The sequence below is a fragment of the Homo sapiens genome, chromosome 4 (assembly GCF_000001405.40).
Source record: "Homo sapiens chromosome 4, GRCh38.p14 Primary Assembly".
Classification (NCBI taxonomy): domain Eukaryota; kingdom Metazoa; phylum Chordata; class Mammalia; order Primates; family Hominidae; genus Homo; species Homo sapiens.
Window position 1 is genome coordinate 26198097 of NC_000004.12, and position 14473 is coordinate 26212569.

Sequence of the window (14473 nt, forward strand, 5' to 3'; positions counted from 1 at the left end):
ATACAAAATTAGCCGGGCGTGGTGGTACATGCCTGTAATCCCAGCTACTCGGGAGGCTGAGGCCGGAGAATTGCTTGAACCTGGGAGGCGGAGGTTGCGGTGAGCTGAGATCGCGCCATTGCACTCCAGCTTGGGCAACAAGAGCGAAACTCCATCTCAAAAAACAAAAAAACAAAAAAACAAAAAAACAAAAAATACTATGAGGCAGATATTAACTACTACCTGCCATACTATACATTTCCTTATTTATTGTCTATTTTCCCCTCTAAATGGTAAGCTCCAGGAAGTCAAGGGTTCATTGCTGTATCTCCACCTTCTAGAATGGTGCCTGGCACAAAATAGCAATAATAATTATAGGTAGCACTTATTTTATGCTGCATACTGTTTACATATTTTATACATTAACTCAAGCAAATAGTAATAATAATAATGATAACAGGTAGCATTTATCTTGTGCCAGACCCTGTTCTATTTGAATATATTAACTCAATTATTTCTCACAACAATCCTAATGACAGAGGAACTACTATCTCCATTTTCCAGATGAGAAAACTAAGGCACAGAGAAAAGTTTGGCTTGCCCATTTCCCAACAGTGAGAGAGCCACAGAATCAAGATTCAAATCCAGGCCACCAGCCTCTAGAGTTTGAGTTTTTAACCATAATACCATCTTGTCTTCTTATAAGGGATGCTTGAGAAGTATTTGTTGAATGAATGGTTCTTCCTGTTTCACAGAAGAAGAAACTCACTTTTTGCTAAGTCTCACAGCTTGCAGGATCATAACCACAGCCTGTAAAATTATTGTTTTGTTATTGCTCTAAAATATACACAACATAAAATTTACCCTTTTAACCATTTTTAAGTGTACCGTTCTGTGGCATGAAGTACATTCATTTACATTGCGATGCAACCATCACCACCATTAATCTCCGGGACTTTTTCTTCTTCCCCAACTAAAACTCTGCACCCATTAAACTCCTCATTCCTATAAAATTCCTAGCAAGGAGAAATGCAGGAAGCCAGCTGTGGGAAGTCATCTGAGAGAAGTGATTAAGAATTCCTGCCCTTGGCCGGACACGGTGGCTCATGCCTATAATCTCAGCACTTTGGGAGGCTGAGAGGAGCGGATCATGAGGTCAGGAGATCGAGACCATCCTGGCCAACATGGTGAAACCCCATCTCTACTAAAATACAAAAAATTAGCTGGGCATGGTGGTGTGCGCCTGTAGTCCCAGCTACTTGGGAGGCTGAGGCACTTGAACCCGGGAGGTGGAGCTTGCGGGGATTAGAGACAGTGAGGAAAGAAAAGGTTGATAAGAGAACAAGTTAACTGCGAGATAACAAGTATTCACTAACAGGAGGACGAGAAAATACACACACATGTCAGAAACACAAAACAGTGTTGGAACACAGGACAACGCCTCTGTGGGGCAATTCTTCGAGGTCAGTAGAAACTAAAAGTCTAGATTGAGCCTGGAGTGGCTGGGGAGGGGAGAGGAAGAAAATCCCTGGAAATGAGCTTTACCGTTCAGATCTGAAGCGGAAATTTTAAGTTTCTTTATCACAGAGACTATTTCTCCAACAGCAACTCTGGCACAGATTTGCCCCTTTCAAAAACCTGGCAAGTGGTTTCTTTTTGGGGGTGTTGAAAATGTCCTGGAATCAGACAGTGATGTTGGTTGCACAAACTTGGAAATGCACTAAAAACCACTGAATTGTACACTTTTAAAGAGTGAATTTTATGGTATGTGAATTATTTCTCAATTTTTAAAATTCTTAAAACACATGCACAGAAATCCTGGCCAGAACCGTTCAGTCGAGGTGATGCTATGGCTCGTTTCTTCTGTAAATGCTTCTTGGGGAGCTGTGCCATGTGATTCAATCCTGCAGTTGATGATGGAGGCCGGTGCCATCTTCGCTCCAGCAACGTTTCCACGTTGAGTTCTGCCAGTTCTCATTCTCACGTTCACCTCTGGCCTCTCTTCGCCACCTCAAGGGCAGAGTCTGCAGACCTGGTGGGAGGTGTGTTTGCCAATGAGGAACTTAAATCGTTGTAGAGAAAATAGGACTTTGAGTGAAGTTAGCAAAGTCCTTCGTCCTTATTTTTACAGTCACAGTTATGACACAAAACTTTAATTTTAGAAGATATTGTTGGCATTTTACTCTATCATAACAACTCCTTGAAATAGTGGTATTATTAATCCAGGAGGTTATTGAGGTATAGAAAGATGACTAACTTCACCAAGGTCCACAACTGGTGGCAGAGCCCAGATTTAAACCCAAGCAATCATGGCCAGATACGGTGGCCCATGCCTGTTATCTCAGAACTTTGGGAGCCTGAAGTGGAAGGGTCACCTGAGCCCAGGAGTTTGTGACCAGCCTAGGTAACATAGGGATACCCTGTGTCTACAAAAAATAAGAAGAAATTAGCTGGGAATGGTGGTGCATACCTGTGGTCCCAGCTACTTGGGAGGCTGAGGTGGGAGGATCACTTGAGCCCATGAGGTTATGGCTGCAGTCAGCCGTGACTGCATCACTGCACTCCAAAGCGAAACTTTCTATCTGAAAAAAAAAAGAAAAAAAAACCCAAGCAATCAGATCCAATGCCCACTGTACTATCCTCCCGTGTAATAGGTGCCCACAAATCTCCTCAACTTCAGGTCTCAGATTAGACATTGTTTCATCTCAGGAGCCTCCTTGACCCCTTACTGTGATTAGGTGCTTCTTGTCTCTGGCTATCTAGTTCCTGTATTTCACCCCTTTCATGTTATTTATCACATCAAGCTGTAAATTACTTGTTTACCTGACACTACCTAGATTGTAGATAGTGTGAGTGCAGGGATCACATCCACCTTGTTCTCTGATATACCCCCATGCCTGGCATATGGATGCTGTTCCAAAACCAAATTGAATGAATGAATGCATGAATGAATGAGTATCCATTCACCATCTCTTACTCTTAAGATAATCTTTGGGGTCTCTCTACTCTGTAATTTCCCAAAAAAGGTTTGGAAATTTGTTCCGCTTTGTCACCAATAATGCACATACTATAAAGCTCCCCTCCACAAATGGGTTTCTTTCCAAATGTTTGATGCTTTTCTAATTTTGTGACTCAGGCTTGTTGACTGGTTTTTGCCTCTGGGATCTGTCCTCCTGGTTTTAATTGTGGTCCCAAACTTGTGGTATAATTAGGATGTTGGAGACGGAAAAAGGATGGTGTAACTTTTACTTAACTGGGTGACATAGCTGAGTCGGTATTTCATAACTCCCTCTGTGGTACTCAAGCATAAAGAGCTTTAGCTCTATTACAGTGACTCTTTGTCAAAAACATGTCATGGACCTCCCTTTACAGGTGCCACAATTTCCCTCCTCAAGATGGTATCAGTGTGACTCCAAGGACCAGGTGGACTTTATCCTCATTTTCCATTTTTCACTCCACAGCTTCATTGCAAAACCCCCACCGTTCTCCCACTTTTACCTCTACCTCTCATTTTCACCCTCAACACACATGACCTGCAATTCACAATCCCTGGAAGCAAAAGGTACACTGATGTAAATCTCAATGCATTTACACTGAGAGTTAGGTAGACTGTTCTGTCATACCCTGCAGTGCAAACAGGCTATATTTTTCTAACGTTCTAAACCAAGTTACACCTACTTCATGCCCTCCACTCAAAAGAGCCAAGAGTTGCCAAATCCCAGAAGTTTCTCTTGGTTTATTCTTGCCCCCTGAGTCACACAAGAAACTCAAGACTTATACACAGATCAGAAATTTGCAGGGAGGGCCCTGGCCCTCCATCCATCATTTCAATGATACCCACGAGCTACCTGTTACAAAATTCAATGCTAACTTTTCAGTCTTCATCTTACTCCAACCATCAGCAGCACCGAACATGGTTGATTTCTCCCTTTTCCCCAAAAAACTTTCTTTCCCATTCTCTGGCTTGTCCTTCCCTTTTTCTGGCTGCTTCTTCTCAGCACTTTGCTGATTCCTCCTTGTCTTCTCTCATTTTAAAGTTGGCATATCCCAGGCCTCCACTTTTAGCCCTCTTCTTTACCTTCACTCATTCTCTAGAGGAGCTCATCTGGTCCACAGCTCTAAATGTCATCAACCTACAATGATCATTTCCAAAGGAATCTCCAGTTCCAAATTGTATTTCTAAAAAAAGACAACCAGATTTGCTGTGGATTGAATGTGGGATTTTTAAAAAGAGGGAATTGCTAGTCAAGAATGACTCCAGGGTTTTTAGCCTAAGCAAACAGTGGCAATAGGCTGCCTACTTGACACCTCCACTTACATGTCCAATAGACAACTCAAATTTCAACATATCTAAAACCTGATCTTTCCTTCCCCCCAGCCCAGCTTCATCCTCACTCTTTCCTATCTCAATAAATGACGATTTCATTGGCACTGTTTGCTTAGGCTAAAAACCTCAGAGTCATTCTTGACTATCAATTCTCTCTTTTTAAAAATCCCACATTCAATCCACAGCAAATCTGGTTGTCTCTTTTTAGAAATATAATTTCTCAGCTGGGCACGGTGGCTCATACCTGTAATCCCAGCACTTTGGGGGGGCCAAAGGGGACAGATCTCTTGAGGGCAGTAGTTCAAGACCAGCCTGGACAACATGGCAAAATCCCATCTTTACAAAAACATACAAAAACTAGCTGGGCATGGTGACACGCCCCTGTAATCCCAGCTATTTGGGAGCCTGAGACAGGAGAATCGCTTGAACCCAGGAGGTGGAGGTTGCAGTGAGCTGAGATCACACCACCGTACCACTGCACTCCAGCCTGGGCAACAGAACCAGACTGTCAAAAAAAAAAGAAAAAGAGAGAAAGAGAGAAAGGAAGGAAGAAAGGAAGGAAGGAAATAAGGAAGGAAGGAAGGAAGGAAGGAAGGAAGGAAGGAAAAAAGAAAAGAAAAGAGAAGAAAGAAAAGAAAAGAAAAATAATTTCTCACCTCCACCGCTGGGTCAACCCTATCTAGTCCAAGTCACCAGCATATTTTGGCTAAAAAGGGTCTATCTGTTTGAGGTCCAGTCTTATCCCCTTAGTCTAGTCTTTACATAGTAGCCAGAATGATCATTTTAAATCAAAAATCAAATTTCTATGCTCAAAATTACCTAATAGTTTTTCATTACTGTGAGAATAAAATTAAAGCACTGCACAAGGATCTGCACAATATCTACATGGCATGGCTCTCTCTTTCCGGAACAGTCTTTGCCACATGCCCACATGGCTCATTTCCTCACCTTCCTCATCTTTATTCAAATGCAACCTTCTCCCCAGGCCCTTCCCTGACCACCCCACATACAGTAGGGTCTCCATACCCCTATCTCTCTGTCCCTTTGCCAGCTTTATTCTTCTTCATGGCCTTTAGCATGATCTGTCATAAATTTATTTATCTCTGTGCTGTCTGTCTTCCTCCCCTAACAAGTAAGCTCGGTGAGAGAAGGGACTTCTCTCTATTGTGTTCATGGCTCTGTCCTCCACTCCTAAACAGGAACTGGCTCAGACCAAAGGCTCTGTTGAGTGAAAGAATGATTGGCCACTGCTGCTACCTGTGGGGTCCACCACATAAAGGCATTAGCTGCCAGCAGACCCACCATACCCCCAACATGCTTTCATCTCAACAAAGTGAGGAGGTGATCAGCAGCAATGGGGCCACGGAGGTTGGCCTTTAAGTAATTGCTTCATTGCCTCACTCTACCTGAGTACATCCATCAGATCAACCGGACCAGAATTTATTGTGCCTGACAGTTAGGAACCTGAGGTTCTGGTCCTGATGCTACCTCTGTCCTGCTGCATGGTCTCAGCTATGTTGTTTAAACTCACTGGGCCTTAAAATGAAGCCAGATGATCAAGTGACCAGGGTCTCACTCTCCCACGGGGCTGGAGTGTAGTGGTGTGATCACAGCTCACTGCAGCTTCAACCTCCCAGGCTCAAGCTATCCTCCCGCCTCAGCCTCCCGAGTAGCTGGGACCACAGGTGCGTGCCACCATGCCTGACTAATTTTTGTATTTTTTGTAGGGATGGGGGGGTCTCACCATGTTGCCTAAGCTGGTCTTAAACTCCTGGGCTCAAGTGATCCTTCCGCCTTGGCCTCCCAAAACACTGGGATTACAGGTGTGAGCCACCATGCCTGGCTGAAGTCAGTGATTTTTTTTCTTTAATGTGAAAGAAATAGAGTACATAGTTTTTGCACTCAAAAAATGCTGAATCTAGCAGAGGAAGTTGTCCCCACACCAATGAAAGAGGTGTCGCCTTTGAAGACAGGACATACTGAGTCTGCTCAGTAAAGGCTGTCAGAGTTCAGGAAATGATTTGCAGAGGAAGGCGCCTTACTGGTCCTTGGGGACGGGTCTATGCAGCCCAAGCATCTGTGCAGTTACACAATGTGCTTATGAGCGTGGGTGGCCCTTCTAGCCATCCGCTGGGGATGGGACTACTCGTGGGTAGCCTGGTAGATGTGGCCATGCAGAGGGGTAGCACATTGAGATGAGATGACCTGGGTGAAGCTCACTGTTGTGTCCAAGTTGGAAGTGACACAGCTCAGCAGTGGGACACACGAGGGGAATCCCAACACCACCAGCTATGAGATGTCTGGCCTCAGTTTTCTTAGCATGAACATAGCACTGCTCTCGTAAAATGGTTATGAGGGTTCAGTAAAATACAGCATACAAAGTGCTTAGCATAAAGCATGGTAGACAGTAAGTGCTCAATAAAGGTTAACAGTAGCCTTGTTTTATTACTGTTAGTGTGTGCCCTGGAGCATTCTTTCTGAGTTGGGCTAAATATAGTCTCACCCCCTGCACTCATTTCACTGGAGACACCGGTCAGAAAACTGTGAGAATCTGGCAAGTGTGGAGTTGGCCACCTTTCCAAAGGGATGTGCCAAGGTCCTGGCCTCGGCGCCAGGGGCCACGTGGCTGGAAGGAGCTGCCTCTGGGAGCAGAGTTACGACTGCAGGATGGGGGAGGGGCTCAGTTAAGGGCCCAGGGCTCCCGCTGGCCACCAGGAGCACAGGAAGAGGGCCAGCCAACAGGTTCTCAGAACAGGCATGCAGTGACAGCTCTTGGCTGTCTTTCTCAAGCAGTGGCAGGTGTGCACTTATCTTTAGCAAGGAGAAGAGATGTGGGAGCAGCTCCGGCCCTGTGCCATCTTTCACTGCCAGCTGCCAGTGTGGAGTATAGGACATTGCCTCACCCTCTGCACAGTGTAGAAGAACCCAACACAGACCATGGAGGGCCCATGAGGCTGGATTAGCAGCTGCAATTCTGGAGTCAGGCTCCTGGGTTGACTATGTGGGATTCCTTTTTAGCTTTTCTTATTGCCCTCTCCTTGCCCCACCGCACAGTCCTACATTGCTGCAGTTGTCAAACTTTCAAATGGGAGCTGGGCGGCATGGCATGAGCCTGTAATCCTAGCTACTTGGCAGGTGGGGATTCCAGACCAGCCTGGGCAACATAGAGAGACACCATCTAAAAAAAATTTTTTTTGTTTTGTTTTTGGAGATAGAGTCTTACTCTATTGCCCAGGCTGGAGTGCAGCGGTACAGTCTCAGCTCACTGTAACCTCCACCTCCCAGGTTAAAGCAATTCTCCTGCCTCAGCCTCCTGAGTAGCTGGGATTATAGGCATGCACTACCACTCCTGGCTAATTTTTGTATTTTTAGTAGAGACAGGGTTTCACCATGTTGGCCAGGCTGGTTTCAAACTCCTGACCTCAAGTGATCTGCTCACTTCATCCTCCCAAAATGCTGGGATTACAGACATGAGCCGCCACACCCAGCCTAAAAAAATTTTTTAAGAAAAAAAAAACTTCTAAATGAAACTCAAGTTACAAAGAATAAGTAATCCATTCAGTCTGTTGAGTTGAGTAAATATGATATATGCGTATTTTTTTTATAAATTACACATAGATGAACATGTGGCATATAGTCTTATACCTAAAATAAGTGGATAATATGGTAGTCTACGTGAAAACACTAAAAGCTTTACTACCTCTCTTCTAGAAAATCCCAACTGCCACTACTGCCTCCCACTTCTCCCCAAAATGAAAAGATTTCGAACATTCTAATGTACACAGTTCCATCATGGCTACAATGATTATTTTCTTTCAAAGCAATGGTTTTCATTTGCCAAGATTGATTTATTTTTGTTTAGTGTTTTTTCGCCCTTGGTGTGACAAGTCTTGGTGATAACTTTAGCAAGAAGAGGGACTGTGACTATCCTTGTGAAATTAGCAGTTGCTTCAAATCATCTTCTTCCTCCATAGATCCAGATTTATTCCTCCCCCTCCCAGGAGCTCACTGTGGTGCTCTGCTTTCCGAGAGTTTATGTGTAACTTCCTTTGCTGTGGAGGCCAGGCTCTAGGTTAACTTCTGGAAGTATCTTTGGAAAGTAATTCTCAGGCATAACTCCAAGAAAAAGAGACACATGGTGAGGAACTGACATAATTTTTTAACACCACAACCAGCATATTTCTGCAGGCAACAGCAGCCAAAATGGGTTGCCAAGACCAATATTGATCTAGTCCTTCATCCAGTCAACAAATGCCATTGTTTATAAGATATAATTTTTTTTGGTTAAAGTTCAAAGTTAAACTCCAAGGATTTTCAAAACTATAAAAACGAAAGGCTTTCATACCCTCAAAAAAAAAAAAAAAAAAATCCTGGCCAGTTTTCCTCCTTCACGGGTTTTCGCAGTCACTACAAGAAATACAGCCAAGAAAACACTTTTTTGGTCTTTTTTTTTCTGAATTCTGGTAGTTTTTTAAAGGAGGATTGTACTAAATGCCTAAGTAAAGGTCCCCTCAAATTCTATACCTGTTCTGAAAAATCATGAACTCCAGTTGCACAGGTAACTAAGGTCTGCTTTTCTGCTCCAGGGCTGCCCACCTGCAGAATTCCATAAATCAATTCCCCCTTTTCCAGGTTTAGATTCAAGCAGTGCTCTCCATTCCCACCTCTCCTTTTAGTATGGAAATGACAGAGTTTTACTAAGCCCCTGGAGTAAGGCACAGGGTTTTGTGGTTCACGTCTGATTCTGAAATGGAAAACCTTAGCAAATAAATGGTGAGCAGATGGTGCTTTGTAAACCAGTTCCTCATGGTTTTTCTATATCCACTTCTGGGAGCTGTTGTCAGCAATGAGCAAGCCGGGTTTAGGATGGAGAACCAGGGTGGGATAATAATGAGATTTATGAGATGTCAAGTTGGACAGTGTCTTTTGTGTGTGTGTGTGTTTCTAAAAAAAAAATAGGGTTAACAGAGGTCACACCTTCTTCTCCACGTCAGTCTTCCCCGCAAAGCACCTAGCCAAGTGGATTGCACACACACACGGTGGTGTTAGCTGATGGATGGATCGATTGTTCATTTTGGATGCCTATGTTATACTGATTCATTCCTGTGGAGATGTCTTAGTTCACTTTTCTAGTTTGGAGAACATGTGAGCTAAGGATAAAGATGAGCATTTGTTCTGGACACAGACGTGTGTTGAGCTCCTATCCTATGCCAAGCTCTCGTTTAGGCACTTGGGGTACATCCCTGAATACAACAGAGAAGCAATGCCTGCCCTTGGGGAGCTGATGCTCTGCTGGGGAGAGGGGGTAAATTACAAACAACGATTGCATTTTTAGAGGAGATGCTTTGAGTATATTTATATGTCATCACAGAAAAGTCAGGCAAGTCATGACTCTGCACTTGGACACAGCAATGGGATTCTGGAAACCACAACAACACACCAAATGCATGAGCCGTCAGGAGGCCAGGAACCGAGAAGCTCATTTTGAGCAGAGACTTGTTGTGGCAGCACTGACAGCTCACACCTGTATAGAACTTTCCAGTTTGCCAAGAGCTTTCCACAGACACTGTTTCCTATGGTCCTCACAATTGCCCTGCCAGATGGGCAGCAATTAGCCTTTCAGTCCTGCAGATGAGGAAACTAGGGTTTCAAGACCAAGAGTGACTTGCACAAGATCTGGCAGGACTGGGCTTCAAGCGCAACAGAATAATAGCAACAGTGTTTGCTACAATAGTGTTTACTACGTGCTTGGTGCTACTCTAAATGCTCTATATGAAGTAATCCATTTCAGTCCTTAAAACATCCCAATGAGATAGATACAACTATCTTCCCATCTTGCAGATGAGATATTTGAGGCACAGAGTGGTTGAGTCATTTACCTAAGTTCCCACTGATAAAAAGTGCAGAAGTTTGGATTCAAACGCAGATCATGCAAACCTAAGCAGCCTCCTGAAATGGTAGCTACAGATCTGGGCCCAAGGGCATTGCACTCTCTCTAGTGCAGAAGAGAAGGCTGATCCATTAATAGGCTGGCCAGGAACACATGAATAGCCACACAGTCAGAGATGTCACCATCTATCACAAAGAACAATAGTCTTTCTGTGCTAATAATATATTTCAAGAGTGATAATGACATTAAGTAAGAGGGAGACAAACTGAAAGGATTTTTAAATTGTCTGAAGATCCCTTTGCCACAAGCCATATATCCTATTATGATGAACCCAGTTTATCCATTGCTCCTTTGAATTAACAGACCACGATTTGCACAATTTTCTTGCTTAATTTTGACCACCCTGTGATTTTTTTTCTGAACTCTTGTTGTACTGAGCCTTCACAAGACAATATTCCATGTAAATAGACATTGCTCTGTACTCTTACATACATTGTCCATGTGTGCCCAGCCTGTCTCCCCAAACAAATTACAAGACACTCAGTGACTGGGAGCTCTGTCATATGACTTCATTGGCCATTTAGCCCTAACCTAGGGTGGCAGGGATAAGATAGTAGATATTCAATATTTGTTAACTGCTTAAATTATAGTCTTTCAGTTGAATTCTCAGTAGCTTCTGCAGAAGTATTTGTGCTTGTTCCTTATTCATTTTTTCTTTGTTTTGTTGCAGCTAGAACTGTAAATATTCAGATATAAAGACAGTATGCTAGAAAATGTTTAATAACCAGCATTACAGAAGAAAAAAAATATATATATATATATAAAAGCATTTACCATAGTAAAAATACTCTCAACATGGCCTATTTCAAGCTACCGGCATGATGTCAACTGGCTTGCAAAATGCCTGAAAGTTAAAATGTTGATTCTATTAAGTTGGTATGGGTGGCTCTAAAACACGGCAGTTTCTTCCAAAATATGATCTTTGCTGATGTGGTGACTTTTGGTTTTCTTTCTCAATAAAGGCTTTCTTAGTGAAGGATTATACCCAGGTTTGCCTAAAATACAAGATTTTCGGTTTGTGTTTATGATAATTTGAAATACAAACCTAGTAAGTAATGCAGCAATTACTTAGTCATTCCAGGGTCAAGTTGTGGAAAAAAGTTTTGTGTTTAAATTAATGAAGCTTAAAAAACAATCAAAATCTACACTCTTAAGCCAATCAAACAATCAAGTGACATCCTATCTCCTTCCTTCCTCCTTCCCTGTCTCCCTCCCTTCCTCCTTCCCTGTCTCCCTCCCTTCCTCCTTCCCTCTCTCCCTCCCTTCCTCCTTCCCTCTCTCCCTCCCTTCCTCCTTCCCTCTCTCCCTCCCTTCCTCCTTCCGTCTCCCCCTCCCTTCCTCCTTCCCTCTCTCCCTCCCTTCCTCCTTCCCTCTCTCCCTCCCTTCCTCCTTCCCTCTCTCCCTCCCTTCCTCCTTCCCTCTCCCCCCTTCCTTCCTCCTTCCCTCTCTCCCTCCCTTCCTCCTTCCCTCTCCCCCCTTCCTTCCTCCTTCCCTCTCTCCCTCCCTTCCTCCTTCCCTCTCTCCCTTCCTTGCTTTTTCTTTTCCCATTCCCTCACCTCCTTTCCCATTCATATCATTTTCATTTTGGGTGGGAAGTTTTGCTCTTTTGGTAACATTTCTGGGGTAAGAAAACACTTTCAAGACCAACAATCTTGCCACCCTAAAACCATATGAGGACCCACTGTAGAGTTTTAAACAACTATTGGATTGATTTTGCTTCTAGCTGTCTTCCAGGAAGTCTTTCTTCTTCTACTTCAGCTTTTCATTCAGAATTCCTAATGTGTCCTTAATGGGATACAAAACCACAATCGTTTTAGGGGATAAAAGATAACTCTCAACACAGATCCAAGAGTTTGACAGTGTTCTACAGTGGGAATATAGTCTTCCCTGAATTTAGGAAGATTGTAACTGCCGGTTCTTTCCCTTTCCGCACAGGATCCCCTCCTCTTCACTAAACCTCTAGTTAGGAGAATTTCTATTTGGTGTGTGAGTTGAGGGAGGGAGAAGAGGTTGAAGTCTATCCACATGTAGAAACTAGCTCCTTTACAACTTGTCTAATGGGGCCCACCTGGGTGCAGAGAGCAGCAGAGGGCAATCGCATCAATTTAAAGCCATTCCCATCGCATCAAAAATCATTGTTAGTATTATTTAAAAGAAGCTATATGACGTTAATCATTTTTCAAAAGGAAGCTAACTAAAAACATTTTTATTTCAAATATCAATGAGGCTTTTAATTAAATTTGTCATGGCAAAACTCATTTGTTCTTGATTACACTACTTTTCAAACCCTTAAGCCAGCTTTCTTTCTTTTTTCTTTCTTTCTTTCTTTCTTTCCTTTCTTTCTTTCTTTCTTTCCTTCTTTCCTTCTTTCTTTCCTTCTTTACTTCTTTCCTTCTTTCCTTCTTTCTTTCTTTCTTTCTTTCTTTCTTTCTTTCTTTCTTTCTTTCTTTCTTTCTTTTCTCCTGTGTGTCTGGCTCTTTTATTGGTGTGCCAGTGAAAAGCCTAGTTATGGGTACTTTCAACCGAAGAGCCTGGATGAAAGCTTTTTCTGAAGTACTAGGCATTCTCCACTTGGTTTTGTATTGTGATTTATTTTTCTCCTTAAGTAGTCCATAAGCTTCTTGTAAGCAGAAGCAAAGTAATTTCATTTTTCCCACAGAGCCCCTGTGCTGTGCAGAGCACAGGTGTATAGACTCCCATAACTTTCAAAGCTAGAAGGGTCATTGGTGAGATTTTCCAACCCAGATTATTGTTACTTTGATCCATGGAAATAGCCTTACTCAAGGTGTCTGTAAACCCTCTGAAATTATATAGAAAGTACCATATGCACGTGTATGTGTGCAATGTACATATGTGTAGTAGCACTTTTCTGTACATATGCCTAGTAGCACTTTTCTGGGGACAAATACTCATCAGATATTCAAAAATGTTAAAGATCTATCACTCTACTCAAGGCCCACACAGCCCCAAAGACAGTACTGTGTCGTCCATAAACCTCCAGGGAATTGGAAAGTATTAGAGAGGAACTGAGTTTCTCTGGGGAGAAAATAGATATTTACACAATAAATAATCATTGTATCTCTACAGGGATTGTTTATTATTTGCTCATTTATATTTGAGATGTATTTCACATACCATAGATTCACCTCTGTAAATAATTCACCTCTGTAAATTCAGTAGTTTTTAATATATTCATAAAGTTGCACGACCATCATCAATTTATCATAAGTATGATTTATTGAGAGCCTTCGCACCAAGCACCATCCTTAGTGCAGTGGATACAGCGGTGGGAACATGAGGGACAACATGTCTGCCCTCCAGAAACTCACCTTCCATTCGGGTAGACAGCAAACAAAGAATCAAATAATTATACCCTACCTGTTATAGGTTAAATTGTGTCCCTCTCCAAATCCATATGTTGAAGTCTGAACCTCTAATGCCCCTTAATATGATCTTATTTAGAAATAGGGTCATTATAGAAGTAATTAGTTAAGATGAGATCATACTGGAGTACAGTAGACCATCCAATATGACTGGTGTCCTTACGAAAAGGAAAAATTTGGACACAGAGCGAAGTCCACCTGAAGACGAAGGCAGAGATGGGGGTGATGCGCCAGATGCCAAGGATCACCAAAGATTGCCAGCAAGCACAGAAGCCAGGGGAAGTGTGGGAACAGAGCATCCCTCAGAGCCCTCAGAAGGAGCCAACTCTGCTGATGCCCTGATCTCAGACTTCTAGTCACCCAGTTTGTGGCACTTTTTGTTACAACAACCCTAGCAAACTAATACACACCTCATTTCAGCTTGTGATCCTCCCCGCTACAATGGAAATTATAATAACCCATATGACCGATGGAAAAAGTGGCTAATTTTACTTTTAACATAGGGTGGTCAGGGAAGATGTGATATTATTTTATTATATACATATGCAGGTTTCTGTCCATGGTTCCTGGCTCATAACTTCCATGGCTCTTGTTACAGGCTATTATTACAATGTTGGGGCATTTTAAGCCTCAGAAACAGGCCTCAGAAAACAGATTCTCCCTTTCTCATCTTCTCCTGCCTTTTTCTTTTCTTTTCTTTTTTTTTTTTTTTTTTTTTTGAGACAGAGTCTCACTCTGTCACCCAGGCTGGAGTGCAGTGGTGCAATCTTGGCTCACTGCAACTTCCACCTCCCAGGTTCAAGCGATTCCCACCTTCTTTTTTCACATACTGCT

At 42.8% G+C, this 14473-nt stretch overlaps 1 protein-coding gene and 1 long non-coding RNA gene across 3 annotated transcripts in view, besides 2 other annotated features; one reads left to right on the plus strand and one right to left on the minus strand.

Moving 5' to 3' along the window:
* RBPJ (recombination signal binding protein for immunoglobulin kappa J region) overlaps positions 1–14473 on the plus strand; it is a 329683-nt gene that overhangs the window by 92648 nt on the left and 222562 nt on the right. The gene's annotated exons all lie outside the window — the stretch shown is intronic.
* Positions 33–14473, minus strand: part of LOC124900690 (uncharacterized) — a 77297-nt gene continuing 62856 nt past the window's right edge. Inside the window, exons 3-4 of the long non-coding RNA XR_007058094.1 lie at positions 2450–2561; positions 33–2011 (exon numbers count right to left, since the gene is read on the minus strand). This is a non-coding gene — a long non-coding RNA (uncharacterized LOC124900690). The remainder of the gene's footprint in view (positions 2012–2449; positions 2562–14473) is intronic.
* Positions 6430–6519: an enhancer, noted in NCBI's record as "active region_21391". NCBI's record gives its function as "activates an Ori minimal core promoter by ATAC-STARR-seq in GM12878 lymphoblastoid cells {active_cell/tissue: GM12878}" and the evidence as "EXISTENCE:reporter gene assay evidence [ECO:0000049][PMID:35858748]".
* Positions 6503–7004: an enhancer, noted in NCBI's record as "H3K4me1 hESC enhancer chr4:26206221-26206722 (GRCh37/hg19 assembly coordinates)". NCBI's record gives its function as "activates a minimal SCP1, AML or CMV promoter by ChIP-STARR-seq in primed H9 embryonic stem cells {active_cell/tissue: H9 hESC(primed)}" and the evidence as "EXISTENCE:reporter gene assay evidence [ECO:0000049][PMID:30033119]".